The 27,983-nt window shown below is 49.1% G+C and overlaps 1 protein-coding gene and 1 long non-coding RNA gene across 27 annotated transcripts, besides 6 other annotated features; one reads left to right on the top strand and one right to left on the bottom strand.

Annotated features, from left to right (window-relative positions):
• Positions 1-869: 869 nt before the first annotated feature.
• On the bottom strand, positions 870-2,849 carry FLJ30679 (uncharacterized protein). The gene has a single exon (NR_026674.1). It is a non-coding gene; the product is annotated as an uncharacterized protein FLJ30679 (long non-coding RNA).
• Positions 2,652-2,941: an enhancer, noted in NCBI's record as "active region_11318". NCBI's record gives its function as "activates an Ori minimal core promoter by ATAC-STARR-seq in GM12878 lymphoblastoid cells {active_cell/tissue: GM12878}" and the evidence as "EXISTENCE:reporter gene assay evidence [ECO:0000049][PMID:35858748]".
• Positions 2,652-3,077: a biological region, named in NCBI's record as "ReSE screen-validated silencer GRCh37_chr16:86588698-86588911".
• Positions 2,864-3,077: a silencer, noted in NCBI's record as "fragment chr16:86588698-86588911 (GRCh37/hg19 assembly coordinates)". NCBI's record gives its function as "represses an EF-1alpha promoter that drives an FKBP-Casp9 reporter gene in an ReSE screen in K562 erythroleukemia cells {active_cell/tissue: K562}" and the evidence as "EXISTENCE:reporter gene assay evidence [ECO:0000049][PMID:32094911]".
• Positions 2,934-27,983, top strand: MTHFSD (methenyltetrahydrofolate synthetase domain containing). Of its 26 annotated transcripts, NR_027489.2 has the most exons (9): positions 2,934-2,996; positions 3,421-3,524; positions 5,877-5,990; positions 9,592-9,705; positions 10,058-10,134; positions 11,520-11,610; positions 15,956-16,068; positions 16,347-16,472; positions 25,688-27,983. NR_027489.2 is itself a non-coding variant. In NM_001159380.2 (8 exons), the coding sequence occupies exons 2-8, from the start codon at positions 3,462-3,464 to the stop codon at positions 26,156-26,158; spliced, it is 1,092 nt and encodes a 363-aa protein (NP_001152852.1). In that variant the 5' UTR covers positions 2,934-2,996; positions 3,418-3,461; the 3' UTR covers positions 26,159-27,983. The 26 variants fall into 26 exon arrangements, 24 of the variants coding, with proteins under 24 accessions (NP_001152852.1, NP_073601.2, NP_001152851.1 ...); NR_027490.2 differs by lacking the exons at positions 5,877-5,990; positions 10,058-10,134 and adding an exon at positions 6,023-6,196 and having other exon boundaries at positions 2,934-3,000; positions 3,418-3,524; NM_001159380.2 differs by lacking the exons at positions 5,877-5,990; positions 10,058-10,134 and adding an exon at positions 6,023-6,136 and having other exon boundaries at positions 3,418-3,524.
• Positions 2,982-3,031: an enhancer, noted in NCBI's record as "active region_11317". NCBI's record gives its function as "activates an Ori minimal core promoter by ATAC-STARR-seq in GM12878 lymphoblastoid cells {active_cell/tissue: GM12878}" and the evidence as "EXISTENCE:reporter gene assay evidence [ECO:0000049][PMID:35858748]".
• Positions 4,000-4,662: an enhancer, noted in NCBI's record as "H3K27ac-H3K4me1 hESC enhancer chr16:86587113-86587775 (GRCh37/hg19 assembly coordinates)". NCBI's record gives its function as "activates a minimal SCP1, AML or CMV promoter by ChIP-STARR-seq in naive H9 embryonic stem cells {active_cell/tissue: H9 hESC(naive)}" and the evidence as "EXISTENCE:reporter gene assay evidence [ECO:0000049][PMID:30033119]".
• Positions 4,663-5,327: an enhancer, noted in NCBI's record as "H3K27ac-H3K4me1 hESC enhancer chr16:86586448-86587112 (GRCh37/hg19 assembly coordinates)". NCBI's record gives its function as "activates a minimal SCP1, AML or CMV promoter by ChIP-STARR-seq in naive H9 embryonic stem cells {active_cell/tissue: H9 hESC(naive)}" and the evidence as "EXISTENCE:reporter gene assay evidence [ECO:0000049][PMID:30033119]".

Here is a 27,983-nt window from a genome sequence, read left to right as displayed (position 1 = left end):
GAAGAACCTTAAATGCATATTACTAAGCGCGAGAAGCCTGTTTGAAAAGGCTACATAGTGTATGATTCCAATTATTGACTTTCTGGAAAAGAAAAAGCCATGGAGAAAGAAAAGAGACCAGTAACTGCCAGGGGTTAGCAGGCAGGCAGGGAGGGAGGAAGAGGCAGAGCACACAGGATCTGTAGGGCAGTAAAAATATTCTGCCTGATACTCCAGGGATGGGCACATGCCATTATGCATTTGTCAAAACCCCAGAACATACAGAAAGCCTGAGCTCTAATGTAAACCATGGCTGTTGGATGATAACAATGTATCAGTGTAAGTTCATTGTAACAAATGTACCATTCCACAGCAGGATGTTGATAGTGGGGGAGGCTGTGTATAAATGCAGCCGCAGGGGTTGTATATGGGAACTCTCTGTACTTTCTGCTCAATTTTGCTGTGAAGTAAAACTTTTCTTTTTTCTTTACTTTGAAACAGTCTCGCTCTGTCGCTCAGGTTGGAGTGCAGTGGCGTAATCTTGGCTCACTGTAACCTCTGCCTCTTGGGTTCAAGTGATTCTCCTGCCTCAGCCTCCTGAGTAGCTGGGATTACAGGCGCGAGCCACCACCCCCAGCTAATTTTTTGTATTTTTAGTAGAGATGGGATTTCACCATGTTGTCCAGGCTGGTCACAAACTCCTGACCTCAATTGATCTGCCCACCTCAGCCTCCCAAAGTGCTGGGATTACAGGTGTGAACCACCACTCTTGGCCAAACCAAAACTTTTCTAAATGATAAAATCTACCAAAACAAAAAAAAATCCTGAAGTGCCCAAATGCAAATTTACACATATGATTGAGTTTTAAGTATTTGAGTTAAGGTTCAATAGCATCTTCTTTTTTTAAAATTTTATTTTAAGTTCCAGGATACATGTGCAGGATGTGCAGGTTTGTTACATAGGTAGTAAATGTGTGCCATGGTGGTTTGCTGCTCCTGTCAACCCATCACCTAGGTATTAAACCCCACATGCATTAGCTATTCATTCTGAAAGCATCTTCCTTTCATAAAAGAGCCAGTTGATTTTTTCTAAGGGGTCTCTTATTACTACTATTTATTATTTTTATTTATTATTATGTTTTTCAAAGAGGAGTTCTGGCTGTGTCGCCCAAGTGGAGTACAGTGGTGCCATTATAGTTCACTGCAGCCTCAAACTCCTGGGCTCAAGTGATCCTCTGCCTCACCCCCTCAAGGAGCTGGGGGTAAATGCTCTGAGGCACTTCTAACTTGAAAACATGGAACTGAAGAGAATGCCCTTCCTAGCACCACCTGCTTTCTAAAATTGCCACTGGCAGATTGTCCCTGGCGTCTCGTTACCATCTGGGGGCCGTGCCAGGCTGACCATCGGAGAGACTTGGGCTCTGTTTTGAGCACAGCTGGGTAACAGAATCCTGCACACACTTCCACTACTGGCACCAAGTCTACTTGCATAAAACACTCTGCAGATCTACTGTGCTTCCATGAAAGGCGGAAAGGACATCCAACCTCTGTGAGAGATTTTATTTTATCACCTCCAAAATGATGTTTGCACTGCTTTTGCCAGCCTGGTGAAAGACAGGCCCGCCCACAAGCAGAACTGAGGCTCCTCGGTGTCTCTATGTATTAATGTTGCGGACACCACATAGGAAGAGAGAGTTGTGATGGGACCCACAGGAGTTGCAATTAAGCACGTTGTCAGGGCTACACGCTCTGCCCTTTCTCTGCTGGGAGACTCAGGCCAAGCTTCTTTAACATGTCTGAGCCTCTGTTGCCTCCTGCGTAGGAGGCGGGTCACATTTGCCTCTGAGGGTTTGCTGTGAAACATAGTTAGCTATGACTTTTAAGGCGCTAAGCTCAATGCCTGGCATATCGTAGCACTGTTAATTACCATTATTAATTATGTCCTAAGGAGGTCAAACGGCACATTATGAGTTACCAGCAGACATGAGTAAGTCGCTTGTACACGGAACACCATTTTCTGTATCTGTTAAGTAGGCGGGCATTCAAACTCTTTTGTCTGTTTCCCAAGTGTGTTGTGAGGATCTCATAAAGTTTTGGGCATGCAATTTCGAAAGGTGGCAGCCACGTTTTGAGTGCTTGTGATGTACCAGGCACGTGGCTACGGGGATGCCTTCATTCGCTCAGGGAGTGGTTCCTAGTGGCTGGTCCCTGACATCTGTGTGTGTGCTGGGTGGGGGTGTGGGATGTCTTCTTCCTAATAAGTGAATGAACTGCCAGGCTGAACGCCCTCGTTTTCTTCCCGCGGGGCTGGGGCCAGAGAGGGAATGGACGTGACGGTCTGTGCAGCCTGGTCTCCTCGAGCCGCTTCTCGACCCTTAGGTTAGCAAACATGAAAGACATAGACAAGCAGACGCAGGCTGCCACGTTCGTTCTTTCTCAGGGTATGCAGAGGTCAGGGTAAGAATCCACGGGTGTTTCTCAAAGGATGGCCTCTGGCCGTCCGCAGCGCAGTCGCCGGGGCTGGGCTGGCCTCGAATTTCCATCTGCCTGCCGCTTTAAAGAGCTGCCGGCTGAATCCGCTGCACACCCACGTGTGAGCACCTGAGAGTCTGCAGGATCTCAGAGGAGGGAACCGCGTCCTACATGAGGAGCAATCAAGGCCGGCTTTCCGGAGGAGGCGGCCTCTAGGACTGGAAGAGGAGGCGGGATGTGTTTCAACCGGCAATGGGTCCCGAGAGACCAGGGACTTGTTCACTTCAGTAACTCCAGGGCTTGGCAAAACGCCTGTCACGGGCGGCGCTCGACAATGACTAGCTGAAAGCAAGAGCGAAGGGCCTGGGAGCATCCCTGACTGTCCCCGGCGCGGATTTTACCCGCCCGAGCATGCGCGCCTGGGCCTCGCCCGCTCAGCCTCCGCCCCTCCTACCATCGCGCAGGCGCGGAGCGGGTGACGTCACTACGCGCCAGAACCTGCGCCGGGAAGCGTCGCACAGCGACTGCATCACCATGGAGCCGAGGGCAGGTGGGGGGCCTGGCGGGGCTCCGGGGCGGCTGGGAATGGGGAGGGACAGCCGGGACCGGTGAGGGTCGAGGCGGGGCCACCGGGGCTGGCAGAGGATGGGGCAGAATCACCGGAAGCGGCCGAGGAGGTCAGAGGGGGTCTGTGCTGGGTTCGGGTCGAACCAGCGGCTCTCTCGCCCGGAATCCCGAGAAAGATGTCAGGAAAAATAAAGATAACGAGAAGACGAGGCGGGAGGGACACCTGCCGTGCACGTGGGGGAGCCCGTGGGCCCCTTGAGGTCGGGGAAACTGAGGCTCAGGAACAGGATCGGAAGCCGGTTTGACCTACACGCGGGGGTCGCTTAACTACTGTTAAGCGGTTTCAGCATGGGCTCTGGAATTCCTTTGTATGTTATTAAGTGGGAATCTTTTGTTGCAGTAGGTGTCTCCAAACAGGACATACGTGAACAAATTTGGGGCTACATGGAATCACAAAATTTAGCTGACTTTCCCCGACCTGTTCATCACAGGATACCCAACTTTAAGGTACTGACATATTTCTGGAGTCCAGAAAAGGAAAACAAAATATTCTTAAATGAATAACACTAGTAATAAAATTCTCTTACTGCGTCATGGTGGATGAGAATGTGGCGAGCAGTGAGCAGTGGTGTGAAATCAAAGCCATTTGGCCAGGGCGTCCTTAGCATTTAGAGACGTCATTTACTCTTCACCTGGGGCCTCTTGCGTCTCTGTGCAGGGTGGTTTGGTTGTCTCTAGGTGAGGTTGTGTCCAGAATTGGTGGGTTCTTGGTCTCACTGACTTCAAGAATGAAGCCTCGCAGTGAGTGTTACAGTTTTTAAAGGCAGCGTGTCTGGAGTTTGTTCCTTCTGATGTTTGGATGTGTTCAGAGTTTCTTCCTTCTGGTGGGTTCACGGTCTTTGCTGGCTTCAGGAGTGAAGCTGCAGACCTTAGCAGAGAGTGTTGCAGCTCACAAAGGCAGGGTGGACTCAAAGAATGAGCAGCAGCAAGATTTATTGCAAAGAACAAACCTTCCACAATGTGGAAGGGGATTGGAGAGGGTTGTTGCTGCTGGTTCAGGCAGCCTGCTTTTAATCTCTTATCTGGCCCCACCCACATCCTGCTGATTGGTCCATTTTACAGAGAGCCGATTGGTCCGTTTTGACAGGATGCTGATTGGTGCGTTTACAATCCCTGAGCTAGACACAAAAGTTCTCCACCTCCCCACTAGATTAGCTACATACAGAGTGCCCATTGGTGCATTCACAAACTCTGAGCTAGACACAGGGTGCTGATTGGTGTGTTTACAATCCCTTAGCTAGACATAAAGATTCTCCAAGTCCCCACCAGCCTCAGGAGCCCAGCTGACTTCACCCAGCAGATCCCGCACTGGGGCTGCAGGTGGAGCTGCCTGCCAGTCCCGTGCAGTGCACCCGCACTCCTCAGCCGTTGGGCAGTGGATGGCACCAGGCACCGTGGAGCAGGAGCGTCGCTCCTCGGGGAGGCTCTAGCTGCACAGGAGCCCGCCGGTGGGGGTGGGGAGGCTCAGGCATGGCAGGCTGCAGGTCTTGGGGAGGCAGCTAAGGCCCGGCGAGAAATAGAGCACAGCAGCTGGTGGCCCAGGTGCTAAGCCCCTCACTGCCCAGGGCCAGCCGCTGTGAGTGCGGGGCTCCCCACGCCTACATGGAACTCGCGCTGGCCCACAAGCACCATGCACAGCAGCAGTTCCCGCCCGCGCCTCTCCCTCCACACCGCCCAGCAAGCTGAGGGAGCCGGCCTGGGCCAGTCCAGAAAGGGGCTCCCACAGTGCAGCTGCGGGATGAAGGGCTCCTCAAGCACGGCCAGAGTAGGCGCCAAGGCCGAGGAGGCGCCGAGAGGGACCGAGGGCTGCCAGCACGCTGTCACCTTTCAAGGTGGTGCTAGTTGCTGTTTTCTGTTTGATACAAAGTAAAATATTTATCCTGGCCGGAAGCATGTTATTGTCGTAATGGCTTTTCACAAAATTGACCCTGCTAAGAGCGTTAGGGAATGAAGGGGTACTGAACTGGAAGTTCAGGCTCTAGGCCTTTGGAAAGAAATGAATGCCTTGCCAGCCTAAGGATGCTGGGCCTCAGTTTCCCAGCTGATCAAAATGTAAGACAATCAAAGATGGCTGTTCCTAACAGTGTTGACAGAAAAAAAAAAGGTTACTCGGAAGAGGCAATGCAGCAGTTCATCATCTTTGACATGCCTATTTTCCAAGAGCAAAAGAAAGCGCTTTTCAAAAATGCTCTCTGCCCTGAAGGACTTAGCTGTTGGCTTGCTTCACCCCATTTTGTCAGGACTGCCTCTCCCCAAGCCTGGCTTCTCCACAACAAGCTCCACCTTCCCTGGTCCTCAGCTGAGGTGGTTCCAAGACTGTCCTGTCCCTTTGAAAAACTGATCTTTTGATGGTTTTTTGTTGTTACTGTGTTTTGTTTTAATGCTTCTGACCCCAGAGAGAGAAATGTATCTTAACAGAGGTAAAGATGAAGGATGTAGAGAATCATGTAGAAATCTTTAAAAAACGAATCAAACAGGAGAGAGGTGGGGGCTTCCAGGTCATGCTACTGCTTGATTTTGGTGGTGGTTACACAGCAGCCTTCATTTTGTGAAAAATCATCAAATTTTGCCCTTGGGATTTGTATTCTTTTTGGAATGCATGTTTCATTTCAGTTAAAGCTCAAGTGGGATTAGGCTACTTTTCTCAAATCCCTTTCCTTACTTAGACTGCTTCCTTAGATGTTTCTTTGGGTGACTGTTAGTGCCTGTCTGGGTGAGATTCTGGGCCGAGCTGCTTGGGCTGCAGTTGGCCTGAGAGCGTGCTGTCCTTTCAGTAACGTGCGATTGCATTGGAAACAGGGCGCTTCTCATGCTGCCGAGCAACTCCCACGCTTGCAGGCGTTCAAAACGGCCAGGACCATTAAAGTAAATCCTGATGCCCCCCAGAAAAGTGCTCGCTTCTTCGTCCTTGAAGTAAGTGCAACTCTGTCTATTTGCCTAACTAGGGGTCTTATCTGGCTTGCCAAAACATCAAAGACCTAGACGTTTTTGCCAGAACACAGGAAGTTAAAGTGGACCCTGATAAACCACTGGAAGGCGTTCGGCTGCTGGTGCTGCAGGTAATTCCACTTCCCTGAGCCGAGCCGAGACCTGGCCGCCAAGGGGGACACCTTTTCCAGGTAGCTGGTCAGTGCACACGTCTGTCTTGCATTTAGAAAGTCGGTGCTTCCGATTCCCTCCAATACAGAAAGTGCCCTTGGTGGTGATTTTTCCAAGAATAGTTCAGAAGCCCTTCAGCTGTTTAGCAATTCAGTCAATCAGGAGTCCCGAATGCTTCTAAATTCAGAGATAAAGGATGTTCAAAACAATGGCTTCCAGGCCCAGTTGGCACAGGAGAGGGAACCCAGGCAGAACCTGTGGTGTTCCAGAATTGAGGAGCTGGAGCTGAAATAGATGACACCACTTTGCCATTTGAAATGAGCATGCTAACAAGCTTGCTGAACACAGAATCATTTGCTTCTGGATGACAGACGGTCACTTGTCATGTTCTGATACTATAAAGACCACGGTTAAGAACTGGAAAGGTTTCTTCTCAACACTGCTGAACTTTTTAAATTCAGGCATGCTTTTGTAATTTTTATTTTTTAACTTCCTAACCAAACAAACACAAAAACTATGGCGTTGAAGCATTCTCAGTTTTGATGTGCTTCATCAGAGGAGGAAGATTACAAGGAAGATTTAGTTCTTTTTGCCACAGTTGTGGTATTATGATGCTTTGAAACATGATAAATCACGAGTAAGAAGTCTGATGTACCCTCAAAAGGTATCGGTTAGAGCACTTGTTCCTCAACTGAAAACATACAGGCCCCTTTTCAAGGAAAACCAGAAAACTCCCCCAGGGTTGATTTAAATTAGTTTATTATAAACTAATTCAATATGATAAACATAAAACTTGGTATAAATTTTAATGCAGATAGCTTTTATGTAACTATAAAACCAAAATAAGCATATAAGTTAAATACAAACAAAACTATAAAATCAGTAACATTCAAATGGCCCCATTAATTTAACGTAATGGTTGATATGGTTTTGCTGGAGCAAATCGCAGCTGATAACATGAGTATAGTACTGGCCATCTCAGGGCAGAATCGTTGTCATTCTGCCTTAACGCTGCCATGCGTTGTGTGCTGACTCCATTCTCCCACCCAAGTTGCCAAGTCAGACTCCTGAGAAGCCCTGGTGAGAGGGGCACTTTCCACACCTCTTGCCGGAGCTGAGAGGAGGGGTCCAGGCTCGTGTGGGAGATCATTTTGTCTGCTGATGGTGGTTCAGCCCCAAGAGAGACTTCCATGTAGGCTCTTCCAGAAGCATAGCTTCCTGTCAGCCTTATTTTCCCAGTTAATGAATCATTTTAATAAGCTAGAAGTAGTAATAGCAGCAGTAGCAAGGAAGGACGGCAGTCGGCAGTCACTGCATTCGAGGCGCAGTTCTGTCTAAATGTTTTCCCTGTATTATGTGGTTTGGTTCTCTACTACTATGGGAGCCATCTCTGCTCCTCTGTGACACTTGAAACCAGAGACAGAGAGGCTCCACCTCAGGTTACCGCACATCAGTCTCAGTACAGCCAGGATTCTGACTCAGCCACCTGACTCCAGAGCCAGTCCTTGCAAGTGTGAAGTTCAGGGTGTTCTCAGCTGTCAGCCCCTCAGAGCAAAAATCAGAAACCTTGACCGTGTGGTCAGCCTTAGCCAAGATGGCCTGGAAGAGGGGTGCAGCCCTGAGCAAATCCCTGTTGCTTCATGCCATCATTTATTCAGGCTGAAGAAACAACTGCATAAGTAACTGAGCTATCTCCCAGGCTGCGTGCTGGGCATAGGATGTAGTGGTGCAAGACTACACACATGTGGTCCCTGAGTTCTGGTGCTTTCAGGGTCCTCAGTGGTTTTTGGAAACTTTAAGGGACTTAAGGATCAGCTGGGATGCAGGTAAAGATGCAAGTTCCTGAGCCCCAGCTGCATGTGGGCAGGCAATGGTGACATGCACAGCCTCAGGCCACACCTACAGGCACAGCAGCCAGTGTCTGACTGGACAGTCCGCAGTGCTGGGGGCACGCACAACCTCAAGCCACAGCTACAGGCACAGTGGCCAGTGTCTGACCGGACAGTCCGCAGTGCTGGGGGCATGCACAACCTCAAGCCACAGCTACAGGCACAGTGGCCAGTGTCTGACCGGACAGTCCGCAGTGCCGGGGGCATGCACAGCTTCCCAGGCCCAACCCCAGACCTGTGAGTCTCTAAAGTGGCATCAGATTCTGTTCAATCAGTACTCCGAGGGTGCTCCAAGTACACAGGCTTAAGCCCCACTGGCTTAGGTGCCACTTGCCAGCTCTGGCCACATGGTGGTATCACTCAAGGAGGTTTGAAGACTGTTGGCCATGCCAGGTTCCAGTCTCTGGAGTGAGGTCTAGACCTCGGTAATTCTTAAAGCTTGCTGGTGATTCTAATGCACACTAAAGGCTGAGATCCACTGAGCCAGAGGATGAGCAGCTTCTAGAAAAGAGAGAGTGATCCCCATATGTGGGGCACAGGACTCCAACACTGCCCATGAGGGAGCCACACTCCACCACTCCCAGAAAAGCAGCAGGCCGCAGTCACAGCTGCCTGTGTTGAAGTACTTCACTCTTGTGGTTGACAAGCCTTTGTTGAAATAGGCCAAACAGATGTCATGGGTCTTTTATTGGTCTTGGGTTGTCATCTCCTGCTCAAAAACTAAAATATACTATTATTTACATGAAAGATTTCACAGATCTTATGATTGCCTTGTGGCTTACCCTTGCATAATCTACAGAGACATCTCAGCCAGTGGTTTTCAAACTTTCGTGTGCATCAGAGTCACTGGAAGGCTCATCGAAGCTCCCCACCCCCAGAGGGGCTGATTCATTTCTAACAGGTGCCAGGAGCGCTGATGCGCTGGCCCAGGGCCCTCACTTTGAGAAGCCCTGTTCTAGAGGTTCTCACAATAGGCATTTGAGAACTAAGTAGAAGTCAAGGGCTATTGGCACGTATCAGTGTATTGATTATCATGATTACTGATCTCTTTGACTGTGATTTGCTGAACAGTCAAACTAGATAGAAATGTTTGAGTAACTAAGGTAGCTATGCCATGCCAGTTTCTAATGACAGCATTATTGTAACTGTGTCGCACTTGGTGCTGAGAGCAGAGGGGGCACAGGAAAGTTGAGGTTGGGATTTTGTCAGAACTGACCTTAGTTTGGATTTCTGTTGTCAGTTTTTACCTGTAACAATTTTGAATGGCAAGTGAAATCAAATTAGCAAGTTTAGTAAACCCTCTGGCTCTTCAGGGTAAGGAGGTGCCGAGTGGTGATTCTAAGAAAAATCGACCCCACACATTATTTAATTAGGTTTTCAAATAAGTAATTTCCTTGGCACACACCAAAAAAAACCATGCGGATAATAGTAATTTGCCTCTTCTCCTGAAATGGTAAAAATACATATAAGAAAGTCCTATGGAATAATTTGATTTTGTAATTTATTGATTGTCTTTTCTTTAAAAGAGCAAAAAAACATTGTTGGTTCCAACACCACGACTGAGAACGGGATTGTTTAATAAGATCACACCACCCCCTGGGGCAACTAAAGACATCTTGAGAAAATGTGCCACCTCTCAGGTAAGTACCAGAAGCAATGTCCCCACCTAGGAAAGAACTGTACCCTGTGAAGGCTTCTGACGACTTAGCATAAGATAGCAGCACACAGTTGGAATTCATTTTTAACAGAGCCAAAAGAACAGAGATATTAAAGTATTCAAGAATTCTGTCCTTAATGGAGCCACGTGGGAAAACTGAGTAAACAGATTCTATTTCTGTAACTCAGTTTCTATTTTGCACGAAATTGGCAAATTATAAATTCCTTATTGTAAGAAAAGGGAAGACGGGTGATCTGGTTCTCTGGCACTGCCCGGTGTTAACCTGCGATGTTCAGTATTGTGGAGCTTTTTCTTATTCCCGGCCTGTTCATCAGGTGCCACCAGAGCGACTGGGGAGACAGGATAGAATTTCCAAAACATGCTCCATTGGAAATTGCCTCACCAGTTCTAAGTGAGTAATTGCTGATAATTACATATTTAAGATTTTCTTGAATGCCTCACAATTTAGTAAAACCAAGTGTACAAATATGACTTTAGGGTGCATTATAATAAAATTGGTCATGTATTTTACAGTTAAGTCGAATTTGGTGACTTTTTTAAGAATCTTAAGGTAAACTCCAAGTCATTTAATTTTTAATCTACTGAGAAGAAAAAATAAGACAATTGAAGATACGCTTTTTTATGGGATTTGCCACTTAAGCCTAATGTATAAAACTGGAACGTTTCATTGTTTACTTATTAGCACCCTGCTTATTCCAAAAATAGAATTTGATATGGTTTCTAAAAATACATACAATAAAGTAAAAAATATATATATAGAGAGAGAAAGGAGCAAAGGAAAAAGAAAGATAGAAAACTGAGACGAAAGCATGGTGATGGTCAGCATTCACAAATGCAAGCCGTCTCTTCCTTTGCAGTTGGTCAGTGCCTGCCCCCGTGGACCCTGCGAGATGATGAGAACACAGGGTTTCCTGCAGTGCAGGGTTTCCTGGACTAAGCCCCCTTCTGTGACTGTCGGGAGACCCCCAAGCCACCCGTATGCACTGATCCATACGGAACTTGTCATAGCACTGCAGGCAGATCCCACCGCCACATCGAATGATCAGTTACTGCTGGATACGGGACTGAAAATGGCTTTTTCCTGAGTCTTACATAAACCGTGTTATGAGAACCATGAACATATTCAGCTTCCCTATTCTTTATATGCATGCCTGCATTAGTATAAAGCGGTACACTTTTGGGACATTTTGGTTGAAGGGATAATTTTTTAGAAGCGAGTATATTGTACATAAAGATAGTGGCCTTCAGGATTTTATATTGAATAAATATGTCATACAGTGTTTACTGACCATGTCTTATGTGCTAAATGCATACGTTTTGTTATTTAATTCCAACACTGGTCCGACGAGGCAGAGGGTGGTGTCCCTGTCTTACAGCTGAAGAAACTGAGGCTCAGAGAGCTCCAGCCTGCTGGGGACCTGTGGCTCAGAGGCTCTGAACCCAGTTCCCTGGGACTCTGCCCCTGTGTTTTCACCACTGTGCTCTTCTGCCTTATGGGGAAAAACGATTTGTTAAATGTTATGAAGTTGGCAGCCTATGAATTTGTGCTGTGAGTTCCTCTTGGCCGCCTTTCTGGGAAAGAGACTGGGGAAACTGTGCCCTAAAGCGGTTTCTGGAATGCGGCTTCTCCTGAAACGCCACATCTCCGGTGTTGCGTGTGCCTGCATCTGTTTTGTCCAAGAGGTTGATTCAAACCCTGAGTGCACTTTGATCATGAATTATAAAATGAGGAAGCAGCTGGAGTTGAAGTTTTCCAATCCGTATCTCTGTGTGCAGGGTGTGAGGAACTACAGTGTCCCCATAGGCTTGGACTCCAGAGTCCTCGTGGATTTAGTTGTGGTGGGATCCGTCGCCGTTTCTGAAAAAGGTAAGACTAGCAGATGGGAACCCTTGAGTGTGACAGCTCTGCCTGAAGGCGGCTGCGTGCCAGGCTGTTTGTCTTTCAAAAGTCGCCAGTGGTGTCTGCTTTCTGGATGCGCTTACCTGGTCTCCGAAGCCGCTGCATTTTTCAGAGGTGAAGAATTGGCTCAGCCCACCCGCTTCTGGCCCCAGCCCAACATGTGTACAGCATTTTCACTTTTCTTAGCAGGAAAAACAAAGTGAGATAACTCTCTGTTCAGGTGGTGAAAGGTTTTCTCTCTGTTCTTGAGTGAGCTGGAGCTTAATTTCTTTTCAGTATGTCAGTAAATAGTTGGTTTTGGAGGGACTCCAGCAAATGGAAAAACAGTAGGTTCCAAGCTTTGTTTTTATTATGAAGCAGCAGACTCTTGAACAACACGGTGTGTCCGAGACTCCTGAACAACGTGGTGTGTCCGAGACTCCTGAACAACGTGGTGTGTCCGAGACTTCTTCTCAGGCCTGGTGCTTTGCCACGCTGCATGTGAGGCAGGCTGCTCTCGGTCCACAAGGCCAGGGGGCCCTTGCTAAGAGGGCAGGGTCACCACACCACCTCTTGCTGTCTCCAGCTTCAGGGTGCCCTCTTTTCCCAGCCACCACTGGAGCTGATGTGGGGACATTGTTCTTTATTCTTTGCTTTCAGTGCATTCCCAGTTTCTGGTGCTTCGTCTGTGTCATCGGGGCTGGGGACTCAGGAGCGCACTGTTCTGGTATACCTGCTACACCTGCTGTGTGCCAGGCAGGCACTGGGTGGTCTTTAAGTGCATGGTGTGTGGGTGGGCCAGACACGAGAGCTGGACCAGGACAGGACGTGACGTGCTCAGTGCTGGACACAAGTCAGGACCGACGGGAGGGGGAAGGGGAGTCTGAGGAGGGACGTGCCAGCCTGGAGGGGGCATCTCCTCAGTAGCGGCCTCAGGGCTGGCTCCTGCATGCCGGCCACAGTCCAGGCAGAGGGGACTGAAGGGTCCTCAGGCAGCAGGCCCTTTACTAGGTTGCGGCCCCTTCTCAGCAGCCTTGAGGCCAGATGATGGGACTTGGGCTCTTGGTGGTGGGAAATCAGCAAAGGTCCCCTCTTGGAAAATATCATCAGGTTCAGGGATGTATAAAGAAGAAAGTAACACTTCGTAAGTTTCATCGTTTAGCTAACCCCCTGTGTAAAGTAGTAAAGTAACCATGTGTCTGCTTAGAAAATTGAACAGCACAGAAAGCTGCACCATAAGTCTTCCCTGTTCCTTCCCAGCTGCCCCATTAGGAGTTCCTAGTGTAGACGTTGTACATAGTAGCATGCGTGTGAGACACAGATATCTTTTTTTTTTAAGTTCCGGGATACATGTGTAGGATGTGCAGGTTTGTTACATAGGTAAACGTGTTCCATGGTGATTTGCTGCACCTACCAACCCATCACCTAAGTATTAAGCCCAGCATGCATTAGCTATTTTACCTGATGTTCTCCCTCCCACTGCCCCTGCCCTGACAGGCCCCAGTATGTGTTGTTCCCCTCCCTGTGTCCATATGTTCTCATTGTTCAGCTCCCACTTACGAGTGAGAACATGCAGTGCTAGGTTTTCTGTTCCTGCGTTCGTTTGCTGAGGATAATGTTTTCCAGCTCCATCCATGTCCCTGCAAAGGACATGCTCTCATTCCTTTTTATGGCTGCATAGTATTCCATAGTGTATATGTACCACATTTTCTTTATCCAGCCTATCGTTGATGAGCATTTGGGTTGATTCCATGTCATTGTTATTGTGAATAGTGCTACAGTGAACCTACATGTGCACGTGTCTTTAGAGTAGAATGATTTATAATCCTTTGGGTATATACCCAGTAATGGGATTGCTAGGTCAAATGGTATTTCTGGTTCTAGGTCCTCTAGAAATCAGCACACTGTCTTCCATAATGGTTGAATTAATTTACCTTCCCACCAACAGTGTAAAAGTGTTCCTATCTCTCCACAGCCTTGCCAGCATCTGTGGCCATTCTGACTGGCATGAGGTGGTGTCTCATTGTGGTTTTGATTTGCATTCCTCTAATGATCAGTGATGTTGAGCTTTTTTCCATGTTTGTTGGCTGTATAAATGTCTTCTTTCGAGGAGTGTCTGTTCATGCCCTTTGCCCACTTTTTATTGGGGTTGTTTGGGTTTTTTTCTTGTAAATTTGTTTCAGTTTCTTACAGACTCTGGATATTAGACCTTTGTCAGACAGATAGTTTGCAAAATTGTCTCCTATTTTGTAGGTTCTCTGTTCACTCTGATGATAGTTTCTTTTGCCGAGACACAGATATGTTATAGCAGTGGTCCCCAACTTTTTGGCACCAGGGACCGGTTTCATGGAAGACAATTTTTCCATGGACCAGGGAGGGGACGGTTTCAGGATAATTTAAGCACATTACATTTATTGTGTACTTTAGTTCTGTTATTCCTACATCATAATAAATCACAGAGTAATTATACAACTCATAATAAAGAATCAGTGGGAGCCCTCAGCTTGTTTTCCTGCAACTAGACGGTCCCATCTCAGGGTGATAAGAGACAGTGACAGATCAGCAGGCATTAGATTCTCATCAGGAGCACGCAACCTAGATCCCTGGCATGCACCATTCATACGAGGGTTTGCACGCCTGTGAGAATCTAATGCCGCAGCTGATCGGACAGGAGGCGGAGCTCAGACAGTAATGAGAGTGATGGGGAGCGGCTGTAAATACAGATGAAGCTTCACTCTCTCACTGCCCACCTCGTGCTGTGTGGCCCGGTTCCTCACAGGCCATGGACTAGTACTGGTCTGTGGCCCAGGAGTTGGGAACCCCTGTCTTATAGTTTTTAGGTATAGATGTATAGATATCCCTTTTCTGCATTCACAGAAGGGACGGTGGCACACACAGAGCTCCGTGCCTTGCTGGAGACTGTGTCTTAGAGCCCCTTCCTGTCAGCACTGCGGGCTGGCCTCCTGGGCCCGTGTTGAGGAACTGCACGGTGTTCTCACGTGACTGCACCTCAGTAACTGAAGCCCACCCCCGCCGATGGATGCATACGTTATGAGTTATTTCCAGATTTGGCTTTGGTCTTTTCTCTTACAGACCATGTTGGAGTGAAGTATGTTCTGTGGGATAGTCTAGGTGCACCTTTGGGGCTATCCATGGGGGCCAATGCCTCGGAGGGGAGTTGCTGAACTGAAGGGTGGATTGTCAGCCTTGATGTTGCCACCAGAAGGGCCGCTCACTTTCGGCCCTCAACAGTGGTGCCTGGCCTCTTTTCCCGCTTCCTTGTTCCTAGCTGGAGTGAGCCAGCTTTGACTTTGAGCAGTCCGCTAGTGAGCAGTGACTAGCATCTCCTTTGCCTTTGATTTGCACCTAATTAGGAGGCAGTCAAGCATTTTTCATGTTTGCGGCTTATCTGCCTGTCATTTTCTGTGAACTGTTCATATCCTTTGCTATTTTTCTGTTGAATTTTCTTTCTCTTGTTTCTCTGCATGCACAGTTGAAGGTTTTGAATTGTCAAAGTAGCTTGATCAGATGTGAGTCTTAGACACGGCAGCAGTGATGCGGGTGCTCTGCGGGTGATGCTGCTGGTGGCACTCGCTGGCCTCAGTTTCTGAAGTGCCTCAGGCTTCTCATAAGCGGAATTGTAGCTTCTCCATGGGGGCCAGAAGGCATTTGATGTATCCTGTCTTCCTGCATTTTTGTCTCTGAATAGCTGATTTGGCTAGAGAGGCTGTTAAACCTCGATTTCATCTTAGCTACTCTTTTAGGCTCAGATAATCCTTTTGTTGTGCCACTAATTACAAATTTGCAAAACGCTTTAGTACTGCTTAAACCGTCCCTCAGGACCTGGTATCTAGTGGTGAGTATTCAGTGCTTTTGAAGAAACAAGGCCATGCCCTCACACACTCCTGACTTCAGAGCAGCGATTTTCCCTCCGAGGTAAGTTGATTAAACATGTTTTGCTTTCAGTGGGAATTTGTTTTTAGTCTTTTTGAGAACTGCTCTTTTCATTCTTTTTAAGTATGAGTCTTGCTAACATAAAGCTGACATGAGTGTGATCTGTTTCCCTTTGTGACATGCTTGAACGGTCCAGTGTTCACGTCATTGTAGTTTCACCACCTGACATTGGCCGTGTTGTTATTCCTGTTGAATGCCCAAAAGTCCATCGTCAGTGTGGGCTGCTTGTGGGCATTTGGTGGGCATTTCTGTGAAAATTTCTATAGATTAGCTCGGGATATTGGGTTCAAGTTTCTTCTTCCACTGGACCTGATGGAAAATCCACTTCTCAGCGATGCCCCGGACCGCACAGCGATACTGATTCTCGGTTGTCTCTTAGGCTGGAGAATCGGGAAGGGAGAAGGCTACGCCGATCTGGAATATGCCATGATGGTATCCATGGGCGCCGTCAGCAAGGAGACGCCGGTGGTCACCATCGTCCACGACTGCCAGGTGCTCCTTATGAATGGGCTGAGCAGAGCCACTGCCATTCTCTTCTGAGGGAGCAGGGGGTGGGGAAGGAGACTCATCTGCTTCTGAACCATGCTGTGTGGCGAGTGGTGTGGATCAGCCAGGGCTGGACTTGCTAGTGGTACAGCGGCTAAGCCTTAGCCCCAGAGTGGATTTGGGGGTGCTTCTCTAGCCAGCCTCACGTTCCCACCGAGCGGGGCAGTGTGCACGACTGCAGTGGCATTCCCAGCAGCCCCTTTATCCCTCCTCTCTTCCCCCAGGTCGTGGACATCCCTGAAGAGCTTGTTGAGGAGCACGACATCACTGTGGACTACATCCTCACTCCAACCAGAGTCATCGCCACAGGCTGCAAGCGCCCAAAGCCAATGGGAATCACCTGGTTCAAGGTGGGTCACGGCAGTGGCCAGCTCTGGCCTGTAGCTTAGCGGCTCCTCCTCTTTTAAGTGTTTTCTGTCTGGCATGGGAGCTGTTGGCAATCCCAGCATGGCTGTATGTTAGAATCACCCAAGGAGCTTTTGAGCAATTTGGCTCCTGAATGACCATGTCCAGGCCCAGGCCTAAGAATCTGCGTATGGATCTCTGGGATTCGAAAAAGCAGCTAGGTTTAAAATCTGCCTCTGTAGATGGCAGAAATGGCCACATGGGCTGGGAGGGTGAATGCCTTGAAGCTTTACTTGCCCCCTGTTTTTCATTTTTAAGAGTTGTTTTCTGCCATCCCAGGCGCAGCAAGCTCTGCCTGGTGTTATCTCATTGGTCTTCCCTTTTTAAATCCAGATTTTTTTTTTTTTTTTACTGACGATCTGGATCTTCAAGCAGATCTAGCCTGAGTAGGAGGCAGTACCAAGCCTTTGTACATTTTATGCATTTGTGGTTTTTATCTCCAGATTAGGTAATGGCACAGGTTGCAAATTAGTCTGCAGTAGGAGTTTGACCCTGCAAATCAGCCTGTAGGTTATGATGCTGTCTCTGCTGGCAAACAGCCAGAATTACTGAGAAGACATTTGTGCTTCGTGTGGACAAAACTACTGGTCAAATAAGCATACGTGTCCACGTCTCCCATTCTTTAATCCCAAATCATTCACCGTTTGAATCCCTCCTTTGGGCATGGAAAATTAACAACATCACCTCTAAGGATGAACACAGAATACCTGCTGCTTTTGCCACAGCCCAGCCGGGACTTTCCCTGCAGGTGTCCTGGGCAGGCACTGCTGGGGACTCCCAGGTGTGCACTCCTCGGTTGGCCGCTGATGAACGCAGAGGGAACAGCCTTTGTAACCCAGAGTGTATGGGCGGCCCTCTAAGCGCACCAGGAGCACTGGGAAAGAAGGTGGTCACTGCTCTTCCAGGAAATGAAAATATCCCTTGATGTCTTTCTTAAGAGTCTTTCACTTGGGAACTCTGGTCCACAGCTTCCTTGTAAGTGGAAGCCAATGCACGAGACAGAGCATAAGGCTGGCGGCTCCTCAGAGCCGAGAACAGGGATGGTGGGAAGGTTGCACAAGGGCATTAGCCACAGCGAAGCTGCTGGCAGTCCCTCTAGGCCTGCGCGTCATAGAAGGGGCCCATTGCAGCCGTATTAGGGGGAGCCTGGACAGCCTCCTCTGGCAGAGAGCTAGGAACAGCCTGGTTACATTCTGAAGATTTTAACTAGAAAAGTAGCAACAAATGAAGTCATCGGACACGTTAGGTGAATATATCCTCCTACAGAAAAGCAAACCAAACTCAGCCAGGGTTCCTGAGGGTCAGCACTGTGGGGGAGGGAGGGCATCGGGGGCTTCGCTGTTTGTCGAGACCCTCTTCCAGGAAAGTCACTGTTTATGAGGCCTCAGCAAGAATCTCAGACTTTTCAAAGGCCATCTCTCATTTTGGGTCCTGTGTTCTCAGTTTCACCACCTGATAATCCCTTTGCATGGTCAGAGGAAATCAGTCACTTTCTACAGCTCCCAGTGTTTCTGTTTTAGTCTCGCTAGCCATGCAGCCAAAGTGAGTTTCATCAACATTTGTTGGGAGAAAAAAAAAATCTCTAAATTCCATTAAAGAGTTTGAATGTGGAAGGCGGACAGTTCAGTGCTAGGTTATAATATTGTTTCAAATTGACTTTGGCAAATATTTGGCATACCTCTCCATGATATTATAGTGATAGGTTTATAGGTTTATAGGTTTTAGAATCTAAGAATTTACCTCTTGGCTATCTTACTGGAATATCTGGGATGCATTATAGATCTCTTGATGAAGGATGTGAAGGAAGTACAAACTGCCTTTTCTTCACCCATTTTCAATACGCAAAGACAGTTCAGCATCTAATTCCCTGGCCTTTGTTCCACCTTTCCAGTAGTTGACGTCCTGCCCTGTCTTACAGACCAGTCTAATACACGCTCTGTTTGAGTGCAGTTACTGTAAACAGCGCATCTCCTTGATTGACCATCAACATCCGGTGGGCTCTTCTCAGCTTGTGTCTCATGATTTTAAAGAAAGGAAACCAGGTGGCCAGTGAGTGTATTGCTGAGTTTAGCAGTCAAGAGTTTCCCACTTCATAGCTCTATCTGTAACTTCCAACACACTCTCCAAGCCCTCTCGTTTGTCTTAGAAATAAAGGCAGTGCATGTAGAATGCCCAGGACGATGCTTGGGAGCATGGCCGCAGTCAACATCACTGTCGCAAATGCGAGGTAGGCTGTTAATAAAGTTGAGAAATCTTCCTGGACGCCATGCATGTTTCTTCTTTCTCTGTGCTGCTGGCAGAATTCTTAGGATGGTCCTTCTGGGTAGCTCACTGAGCCAAGATGGGGTCCTGCACGTGTCTCCCTATGGCCACGGGTTGTACCTCTCAGTGGAGGACAAGGAGAGAAAGGCACTGACCCCGGCTCTCCAGCCCTTTGGCTGCTCCATACCGCCTGTGACCATGCAGGTGCTTTGCAGAGACCCCCCACAAGTAGCCGTTGTTCTTCCTCCTCCATATCATCTTCAGCAAAGGAAGCCTGGTAGGGTTGGGTAAGGGGCTTAAAATGCATTCCAGCACTCTGCACCCTCATCAGAAACTTTCTGGCAGGAAGAGAGAGAGGTACAGAGACATTCCCCAGAAGGCTCTGCTTTTGCTCCTCCTTTCTAGAAGGCACATTGTCTGCTCTGTCCTCGTGTGCTCTTCTGTCTCTGGGGGCGATCGCCTCACCCACAGACCCGTGAAACTCAGGGTGACTTGGCCACATCCAAACCACAAGATGCATAGCCGCTGCTGCCCCATCTCCCAGTCACCGTACCCTGAAAACCCAGGACTCCCTGAACCCCTAGCTACACCAAGGATCTCTGCCAGGCTGGAGATGGTACCAGAGACCTGGGCCTGAAGCTGGAACGTGGTCCTGAACCTCTGGGCAGTTCGTCCAGCTCCATTGATCTTCTGATCCTTGGAGACAGTCGTGCGATGTCTCTCCCTGTGACAGCCGTGTGTCAGGTAGTCTGTAGTGGGCTGAGAGCCATTTGGCTGCCTCAGCTCTGTGCCGTAGCAAACCGAAAATGGCTGAAGCCCTGGACCCGCTAGTGTCGAGCAGCCCTGGCCACTGACCAGTGCCTGCCCTTGTCGGGAGTGAAATGCAGAGTCCCAGCCAGCTCCCAGGGCTGAGTGGTGTCCTATGAGTCACTGACAACAGAAGAACGGAACTTCCTGTTGAGACCCGTGGTCACCTGCTGGACCCGAGTGAGCACCTGGACAGCAGCAGCAGGTGAAGCCTCTGTGGGGAGACCCGGGTCTGCCACTGCCGCCGCCACCCTGGAAGCTCTGTTCTGCCCAAGCTGCACCTGGACCGTGGAGACCCACCACACCATTGTAGTGTTTCCCTAGAGCTGGCCTGAGCTGGGGGCAGGAATGATATATGTTAAGAATACCTTGGAGACAGAGAGGAATGGTAGGACATGGCTACAGACTCCAGAACCTCAACTGTGCCGAAGGCAAGGCCAGCCTGAGTGGGAGACTGAGGGCTCAGGAGAAGCCACTCGGGCACCCACAAGCCTGTGGTCCCCGTCACCAGACCCACAAACCAGAGGGCCTTTTGGCCTTTGCCCAGTGGAAGGACTGTCAGTCACACACATCTTCTCACCCGTCCTGTGCTCCTCACCATCAGCACATGGCTCCTGATTACCACGGGGTTGGCGAGGACACCATAGACCAAGGCCCGTGCATCTGACTTTCCTGGGTCAACTCATTTGCTCCTTAATGAGGGAAACTGGATTCTTCCAGAGCCACGCTCGTGCTTATACTCAAGGAAACAATTCTGTAGCTTTCAAAGCATGGCCCGCTCTTCCCCACACAGCCTGCTGGGGAGTGTGGTTCTCAGATGGCCACAGTATGCTGCATGATCTACAGATACCTCAAGAAAAAGGATTTGAGAACAGGGCTCCTCTGTGAGCAGCAGTCCTGGGACAGCAAAGCCCAATTTCAGATCCCGCATAAAACACAATTGTTCTCTGCAAATAATGCAGCTAACTGTGAACCAACCCCTACCCACAACTGGGCCAGTATGTTTAGAGAGCTGAGAGAGGCTTTCATTGAAAAAGAATTACTGTATTTGACCTGATAATTTACCTTCTAGGAATCAGTCCTAGAGAAATATGTAGAAATTCAGATAAGGACTTATCTGAATCTCTATAGAAGACATGCAGTGCCTTAAAATGGGGGTGGGGGGAGTCCATTTAAGTGCATACAGCTTTTTAAAGAATATTTTGTGGCAGGAGAAAGTGCATGTGGTATAAAGTAGAAAAGGCACGATATGATATTATACATGCTTGATATGGAATTTCATATTCTGCTCATGTTAAAGGGCAGAGAGAAAAGACGGCGAGGAAATACAGCAGAATATTAACAGTAGTTGTCTCTGGGAGATAGGATTTCAAACGTTTCTACCTTCTTCCCAAATTTCCCACAACAAGCATATACTAATTTTATAATCAACAATATTTAGGAAAAAAATAGTAAATTTGTTCAATATTTTCCAAGGTAGACATTGCGCCCGGGTGCATTTGAACCCAGTCACACAGCAGCAAGGTAGCTATCTCTGTTCCCAGGGTACCCAGTTAGTAGAAATGAGAATTCAGAAATGAAAATAGTTAAATATGCGCCAGTTCTTAAAACTCACGCACAGACGTGTGTAGGGTGACACCGGAACAGCCAACACGGAAAGCTCAAGCATGTCTGCGTGAGGGGAACCACGCGGCTGCTCTTCTCCGAGGGCTGAAACCCCAAGTGCGGAAGTGAGACAGGAGCTGCTGGTCCCATGCAGGACTCTGTGCGGAGCAGGGGGAGGGAGGCAGCCACTCCCGCGGGCCTCGCAATGAGGGCCAGGCAGGAGCCAAGGCGTGCAGATGGAAGCTGGCATTTCGCAGCGTCAGTTTTAAGGTGATCATGTATACCAGGAAACAGAAATGTTTTTTACTAAATAGTTCTTAGTGACTTCCAGACCCCTCCCAGGTTGAGCCATCCCTTCCTGATGTTGGGGTACAGTCGAACGCAGCGCTGCCTGTGGTCAGGCCCCCTGTTGGGAGATGCAGGCCTTGCCCCTGCTGTCCGTCAGCACTCCCAGTCGAAGCGTGATTGTAAAGGGGTGGCCCTATTGAGCCTTTTTCTACCAACTGACACCTTTGATCAACTATGAACAAAAGGGTTTTCCATGAGCCACGTTGAAGAGATTCTGCCCTTAGAGAGCCAGCAGAGGCTTCGAGGCCTGCCTGGCGTTTATGTTTACGGAAGGCAGCACGGTCCCTTGGCCTTCCCTGTGCTCTCCTCTGAGCATACCTACTCCCTATGGTTATTTCACTGTGGCTATTTGGAAGTGTCTTAAAGCATTTTCCTCAGTGAACAACCAAATTTAGTCTCAGGCAAGAGAACTCATTATTTATGGAGGTTGAACTTAGTATTAGAAATACTTCTGATGTCTGCTCATCTTCACCAGCACGGCTCACGCCTATCATCCCAGCAGTTTGGGGGGCCATGGCAAGAGGATCACTTGAGCCCAGGAGTTCAAGACCAGCCTGAGAAACATAGCAAGATCCCGTCTTTACTGAAAATACAGAACTTAGCTGGGTGTGGTGGTGAGTGCCCACATGTAGTGCCAGCTACTTGGGAGGCTAAGCCAGAAGGATTACTTGGAGCTGGGTATTCAAGGCTGCAGTGAGCTATGAGTTGTGCCACTGTACTCCAGCCTGGGTGACACAGTGAGACCCTGTCTCTTAAAAAAAAAATGAGGGGGATTCAAAGATCATCCTCCCAGTTTCCTTATCTTCAGGTCAGGTAATGCAAGAGTGAGAAAGAAAAGCAGTTTATCCAAAATGGTAAGAGCAGCATGTAGCTGCCTTAAGATTGGAGCCCAGGTGTCTGCTTTTTTGAGCAGTTTCTGACTCTCAATCGGAAATCTTGAAAGTCAGATTTCGGATTCGTATTTGACTTAGCATGTCTAGGGGACAGGTTTTTAAACTTAAAGTTTATTCTATTTTTTTTTTTTAGAATAGAATTAGTTATAAAAAGGCAAAAATGTTTTCTCATGTTTGAGTAACAAGCATAATTTTTCACTTCACATGCCAGATTGACAGAATGTAACAACTATTCCTCATTGCCAGCCAGGAAACAGTAGCACTGCCATGCACTCATCCCAACCATGACGTCCAGACACCCTGCTGGCTGGCACACAGGAGGCTTTCTTGTCAGCTGTGGCAGGGATCGGCGTGGTCATCCAGCTGCTGGCAGAGTGGCAAAGCCGCCCCACAGCCATTAGAGCTTGAGGAGGAGGGAGCTGATGTGAAGCCTTGTCATCCTTTACCCACAAACACTGCTCATGAAAAGAGCGATTTTCCTGCAGTGGAACACACTTCCACATTTCCATTCTAACGGCCCCTGCGGATGCCAGTGTGCCAGTGCCCTGGCCGCCAGTTAGCTCATAATGTGTGGTTAAGATGTTTTCATTATTCTTCAGCCGATTGTATATTTGCTGGCTCAGAATAAAGGAGCTCCCTGTGATGTGCACGGAAGGATATATTTGTCTTTCCCACGGCATGTTTCAAAACAGATTTCTGCCGCAGAACCCCAAGTGTGAAGCCTCGCCTGAGAATGCTCGCTTCTGCCATAGGGAACCTTGAGGTGCTACTGGACACAGATGGGAGGGGAAATAACTCAGGAGGCAGGAGACTGGGCTGGCGCAGCTCCCGATGGACCCCATCAGAAGAGCAGTGCTTACCCGGAGGGTGCATCCTGCCCCCAAACCCCTACCCCTTACTGCACCCCTTACCTTGCCCCCACCCCACCCCACGGGATGCTCTCACCTCAAGGCTTCTGGTGCTGTACTCAGAGCCAAGTAACTTTCAGTTCTTCCAGATAAATGCATAGCCACACTTTTTCTGTCATTGCAATTGCATTTTTAAATTGTATCATCTGTTTCAATACTAAATCTGGTAATTTAAAAGATCCTTCAAAATCAAATGATGACCAGTTTATATCTGTTTTTACATGTTTCAAAAAAAACACAAAAGCCTGAACTTTCTGAGAAGGTGGAATAGAGGTGTAGAAAGAGGTTGGGGTGGTTGGGCTTAGGTCGTTCTCATTCTTCCCCTCCCATCTGTGTCCAGTAGCACCTCAAGCTTCCCTATGGCAGAAGCAAGCATTCTCAGGCGAGGCTTCACACTTGGGGTTTTGCGGCAGAAATCTGTTTTGAAACATGCCGTGGGAAAGACAAATATATCCTTCCGTGCACATCACAGGGAGCTCCTTTATTCTGAGCCAGCAAATATACAATCGGCTGAAGATTCCTTGGGCCTCAGAGCTGGTATGATACTGCTCTGTGAGTTTAGTCTCCTCACAGTGAATCAGTTGAGAAGGATGGCCGAGGGCCCAGTGGAAGAGAAATGCCTTGTGATTAGAAAAGAGCGCATCGTGGATATGTTCATGGCATAGACATGAGTTGTTTTCCTTTGTATCTGAACAATGGGAAATGTTGGCGCAAGTCTTTCTTTGCAGAGTCTTTCTATGACAGCCAAGAGTCTGTTTGCCATTCAAGACCAAAATGAGGCCATGTGCCTGCTACCTGCCAAGGCTTCTGACGTGGCAGTGCCAGGGAGCAGAGTGGCATCCCACCACAGAGGACTCTGACCAAAGCAAAAGCTTCGCCGGGAGGGGAGGTTACTTTCCACCCAGCACTGGGAGACAGAGCCAGGTATTAGATGAGAGAAGACTGAGAGCCTCTAGGTTTGCAGGAATGCACTTGGCTGTTCTTAGGTTTTTGTGTATCTTTAACTGTTACTCTAATTTATTGATGCTTAACTTGGGGCCTGTGTACTTCTTGTAGTTTGGAGGCCCATGAATAGTCTTTATCGACCCTGGGAAATTGTACAGAAAATTGTGGGTGAGTCATTCTTGGGAGGGAACCCCAGCTCCTCACAAAGGCTCCTCTCTCACCCTGCCAAGGATAAGGACCATTGCTCTAAATTACATATTATTCTGAATGTAATGAGAGCATTGATACTAGTTGAACTATTTCATCTTGTAGAACAATTTACAGTTGTCTAGCTCATGTGCTGCCCTGTACTGCGACATATTCACTTCTGTTGGAGGCCTGCAGGTGACCATGGCTTGCCTCTTGATGACCATGCTCATGTGAAAGCTTGGTGCCCAAAAGAAAAATAAAAAGCATCTCTAAAGAATGAGAATTGTCAAAAAGGACTACACAGTGTCTGTCTGTTTCTTTTTTGCACAGGGCACGGTGGTCCAGGCGTCACCTGACTTGTCCTGACCCATAGGCAGCCCCCAGTGCAAACTGCCCCACAGGACAGAGCCATCAGGCCTTCACCATTTAGGCTGCATCAAGCCAGTTCCAGTCTGTTCCAAGGGGCCCGCTGCCGTAGCTAATTGATTAGAAAAATCCAGATAAAGCCAAAGATGTCCTTTGTCTGCAAGTCGCATACAATTGAGACTTAAGTTTCGCATAGCGTTACTGATTTCATAGTTTGATGACCCATCGCTAGGAAGTGTTTTCAAAGCTGTGTTTCAGACTTGCCTTGCTTCTGCATTTTTGGCTGTGCATTGAAGGGGGTGACCCCTGAGAGACGTTCCTTCAGGGGAGAGGAGACCCCTGTGGTCTTATTAAAGTCCTCATCCCACCCAAAGGTACAGGTAGGGGGCAGATGCGGAGGCAGCTCCCCATTATTCTGGGGGGGTCATTAGGGGAGCTGCCTTTTGTGACCCTATAATCCCAATAGTAGCAATCTTAGGTGCCTCTTCTGGGTAGGAGGCCTGAGCAGAGAGCCCCAGCTTTACTTTCCTGCTTCTGGGCCTGGAGGAAAATGGAGGCCCAACCCTGCAGCCTCCACAGCTCGTGGCAAACGCTCCAGAGCCCCCGTGAGTGCTGACTTCCCTTAAGCCAGGGGCGAGGGGCAGAGCTACAGACTGGTGACATCGTCTGTGTGAGATAGTGGGTGGGACAGTGGGAGTCCCATGTCCCTGGGGCTCAGACCACTTGGCATCCAGTCCACGTGTGCAGCACAGCCAGTAGTCAGAGGTGTGGATGCGTGTGTGGCAGGTGCCCCTGCGATTCTGTCCCTGAAAGAGCTGCAACTGCTTTGCTTTTCAGATCAGCCTGGAGATGATGGAGAAAATCCCCATACTGAGGAGCCTCCGCGCCCGAGAGCAGCAGGCTGGGAAGGATGTCACCCTCCAGGGTGAGCACCAGCACCTTCCGGAACCAGGCTGCCAGCAGACAGTGCCCCTGAGTGTTGGCAGGAGGCCCCCGGACACACCCGGACCAGAAACCAATTCCATGGAGGCAGCCCCTGGCTCCCCACCAGGGGAGGGTGCCCCGCTTGCAGCCGATGTTTACGTTGGGAACCTCCCCGGGGACGCCCGTGTGAGTGACCTGAAGAGAGCCCTGCGGGAACTCGGCTCCGTGCCCCTGCGGCTCACCTGGCAGGGCCCGCGGCGCAGAGCCTTCCTCCATTACCCGGACTCTGCCGCAGCCCAGCAGGCCGTCTCCTGCTTGCAGGGCCTGCGCCTGGGCACCGACACCCTGAGGGTGGCGCTGGCCAGGCAGCAGAGGGACAAGTGACCTCGTGGACAGCCACGGAGCTCACTGCAGACTCGCCATCCCCGTCCCCTGCCGCTCCGGTTCCGATGGCACTCGAGAGGCCTGCGTGGCAAGACGTGTCGGAGCCACCGCCTGAGCTGCTCGGGTCTCAATTCTTCTCAGAAGTCACCGCTCAGTGAACGCCCAGGCCCTCCTGTGAGTGGGGAAGCCGCCCTGCGGTTCATCTCACAGCGCGCAGAGACTGCAGCCTCCCAATCGTGCAGGCTCGGGCCTTGAGTCGGTTTCTGTTTCTCTGGAGGGACAGAGCAGAGGGGCCAGGGACTGAGTGAGTGGCTAAGCAGGGGAGGGTGATGTGAAGGTGATCTCGAGTTTGCCAGGGGTGGGCTGAACAGGAGAAGATGAACAAAGGATCCGGCTCTCAAAAGGCCCTGGCAGGGACTGGATGCTGGGTACAGAAGCGCGCCCTTGGGCTTCAGGCTCCTGAGCTGGCAGCACGGCAGGGAGAGCTCCATCCATGTCGCAGGAGCCCAGGAAGCTCAGCCCCTGGGTAAAAAGTGCTCACTGCAGCTCAGATCAGTCCTCAGGTCACATTTCGGGGAGCCAGCCTCCCCTCTTCCCCTCCCCAGCCCCGCTCCTCCCTCTGTGGACACACTCCGGGCCCTCAGCCAGCTGGCTGCATGAGGAGCAGCTTTGTGCTGTGGGAGAGACCGGCTCTGGGAGAATGGGTTTCATCCCAGCCTACGTCACATTTGCCCAGTGCCTTATGTTTTCTGGGTTTTTTTCCTCCAGTTCTGTTTCTAAAAACCAGCTTGAGTTTGGCTGAACTGTCCTTTCTCAACAGAAGCGCTTTTGCAATTGATCCCGGGCAACAAGTCAAAATAAGCTTTTAAGTGGAGATTTTGTTTTTTTCAAATGTATATGCTTTGGAAATTTTGATTTTTTAGCCAGAGGGTTTTACCAAGTGTTCTTTGAAGCACATTACGATGCCTCGAGAGGGCGGCCCGTGCACGCGCTTTCAAGAAAATGTTCTCGGGACACTCGGTCTTCTCTTTGAAAGGACATTTTCTCATTGGTTTTGCCGTGAAAATCCTGTGGAGACTTCGCAAAGAAAACGCAGCCTTACATTTGCTCATTAAAGACAGATTTCCTTCCCAAGTCGCCATGAATAAAATGAGAGAGTAGAAACGTCTGGAAGCGCCACACCTGGCCCTGGGCCCTCGGCCCTCTGTGTCCTTGGCCTTGCCCCCGCCCGCACGGCTGGTCACGTTTGTCATTGGGCATTCAGCTCAGCGTCAGAGGCTGACTCAGTCCCCAGTTCAGAGTAGTCACCTGGTTACACTGAACTCCTCACCTTCTTTTCTCTCTTTTTTTAAAAAATACTTCTTTTTCTGAAAGATTCTTATTTTTTTTTTTTTGTTTACCTTTTTCCTGTGGATTTGCTGCCGTTAGAATAGCAACTCCAGGAGAAGAGCAAGTGAGTCAGCCCCCCTTCTCCACTCCCTGCCCCACCGGCAGTGGGCACAGCCCTGCAGACAGGAGCAAGGACTTCGGGGAATAGACCCACTGGGGCCGGGAGAGGGAGAAGCTGGATTCTGACCCCACCACTGGCACTCCTGTGTCCAGCCATGCCTGACGCCCACCCCACCCTCAGACGGCGGGATTAAACCAGGCAGTACAGGGTTACTCGGGGAAGCCAGACTGCTGGGATTTCCTGTCGCTTTAGCCAGAATAATCCAGGTATATGGATATACAGATAATCTGAAAGAGTTTCTCATTTTTATATTTGTGGAACATCGTGTAAGAAAAACTGAAGAGCAAGTGCCTGAAATAAAATCCCCCACATGTA

This window comes from Homo sapiens, chromosome 16 (genome assembly GCF_000001405.40).
Source record: "Homo sapiens chromosome 16, GRCh38.p14 Primary Assembly".
Taxonomy (NCBI): domain Eukaryota; kingdom Metazoa; phylum Chordata; class Mammalia; order Primates; family Hominidae; genus Homo; species Homo sapiens.
The sequence above is the reverse complement of the archived record's forward strand: the minus strand, read 5'-3'. Positions and strand labels throughout refer to the sequence as shown.

What these genes read in the sequence shown, in the direction of transcription:
- MTHFSD (NM_001159377.2), top strand. An exon ending in TTCGGCTGCTGGTGCTGCAG is followed by an intron (nt 6,137 to 9,591) that starts GTAATTCCACTT and finishes TTTCTTTAAAAG; the next exon opens with AGCAAAAAAACATTGTTGGT. An exon ending in TGGGAATCACCTGGTTCAAG is followed by an intron (nt 16,473 to 25,687) that starts GTGGGTCACGGC and finishes TTTGCTTTTCAG; the next exon opens with ATCAGCCTGGAGATGATGGA.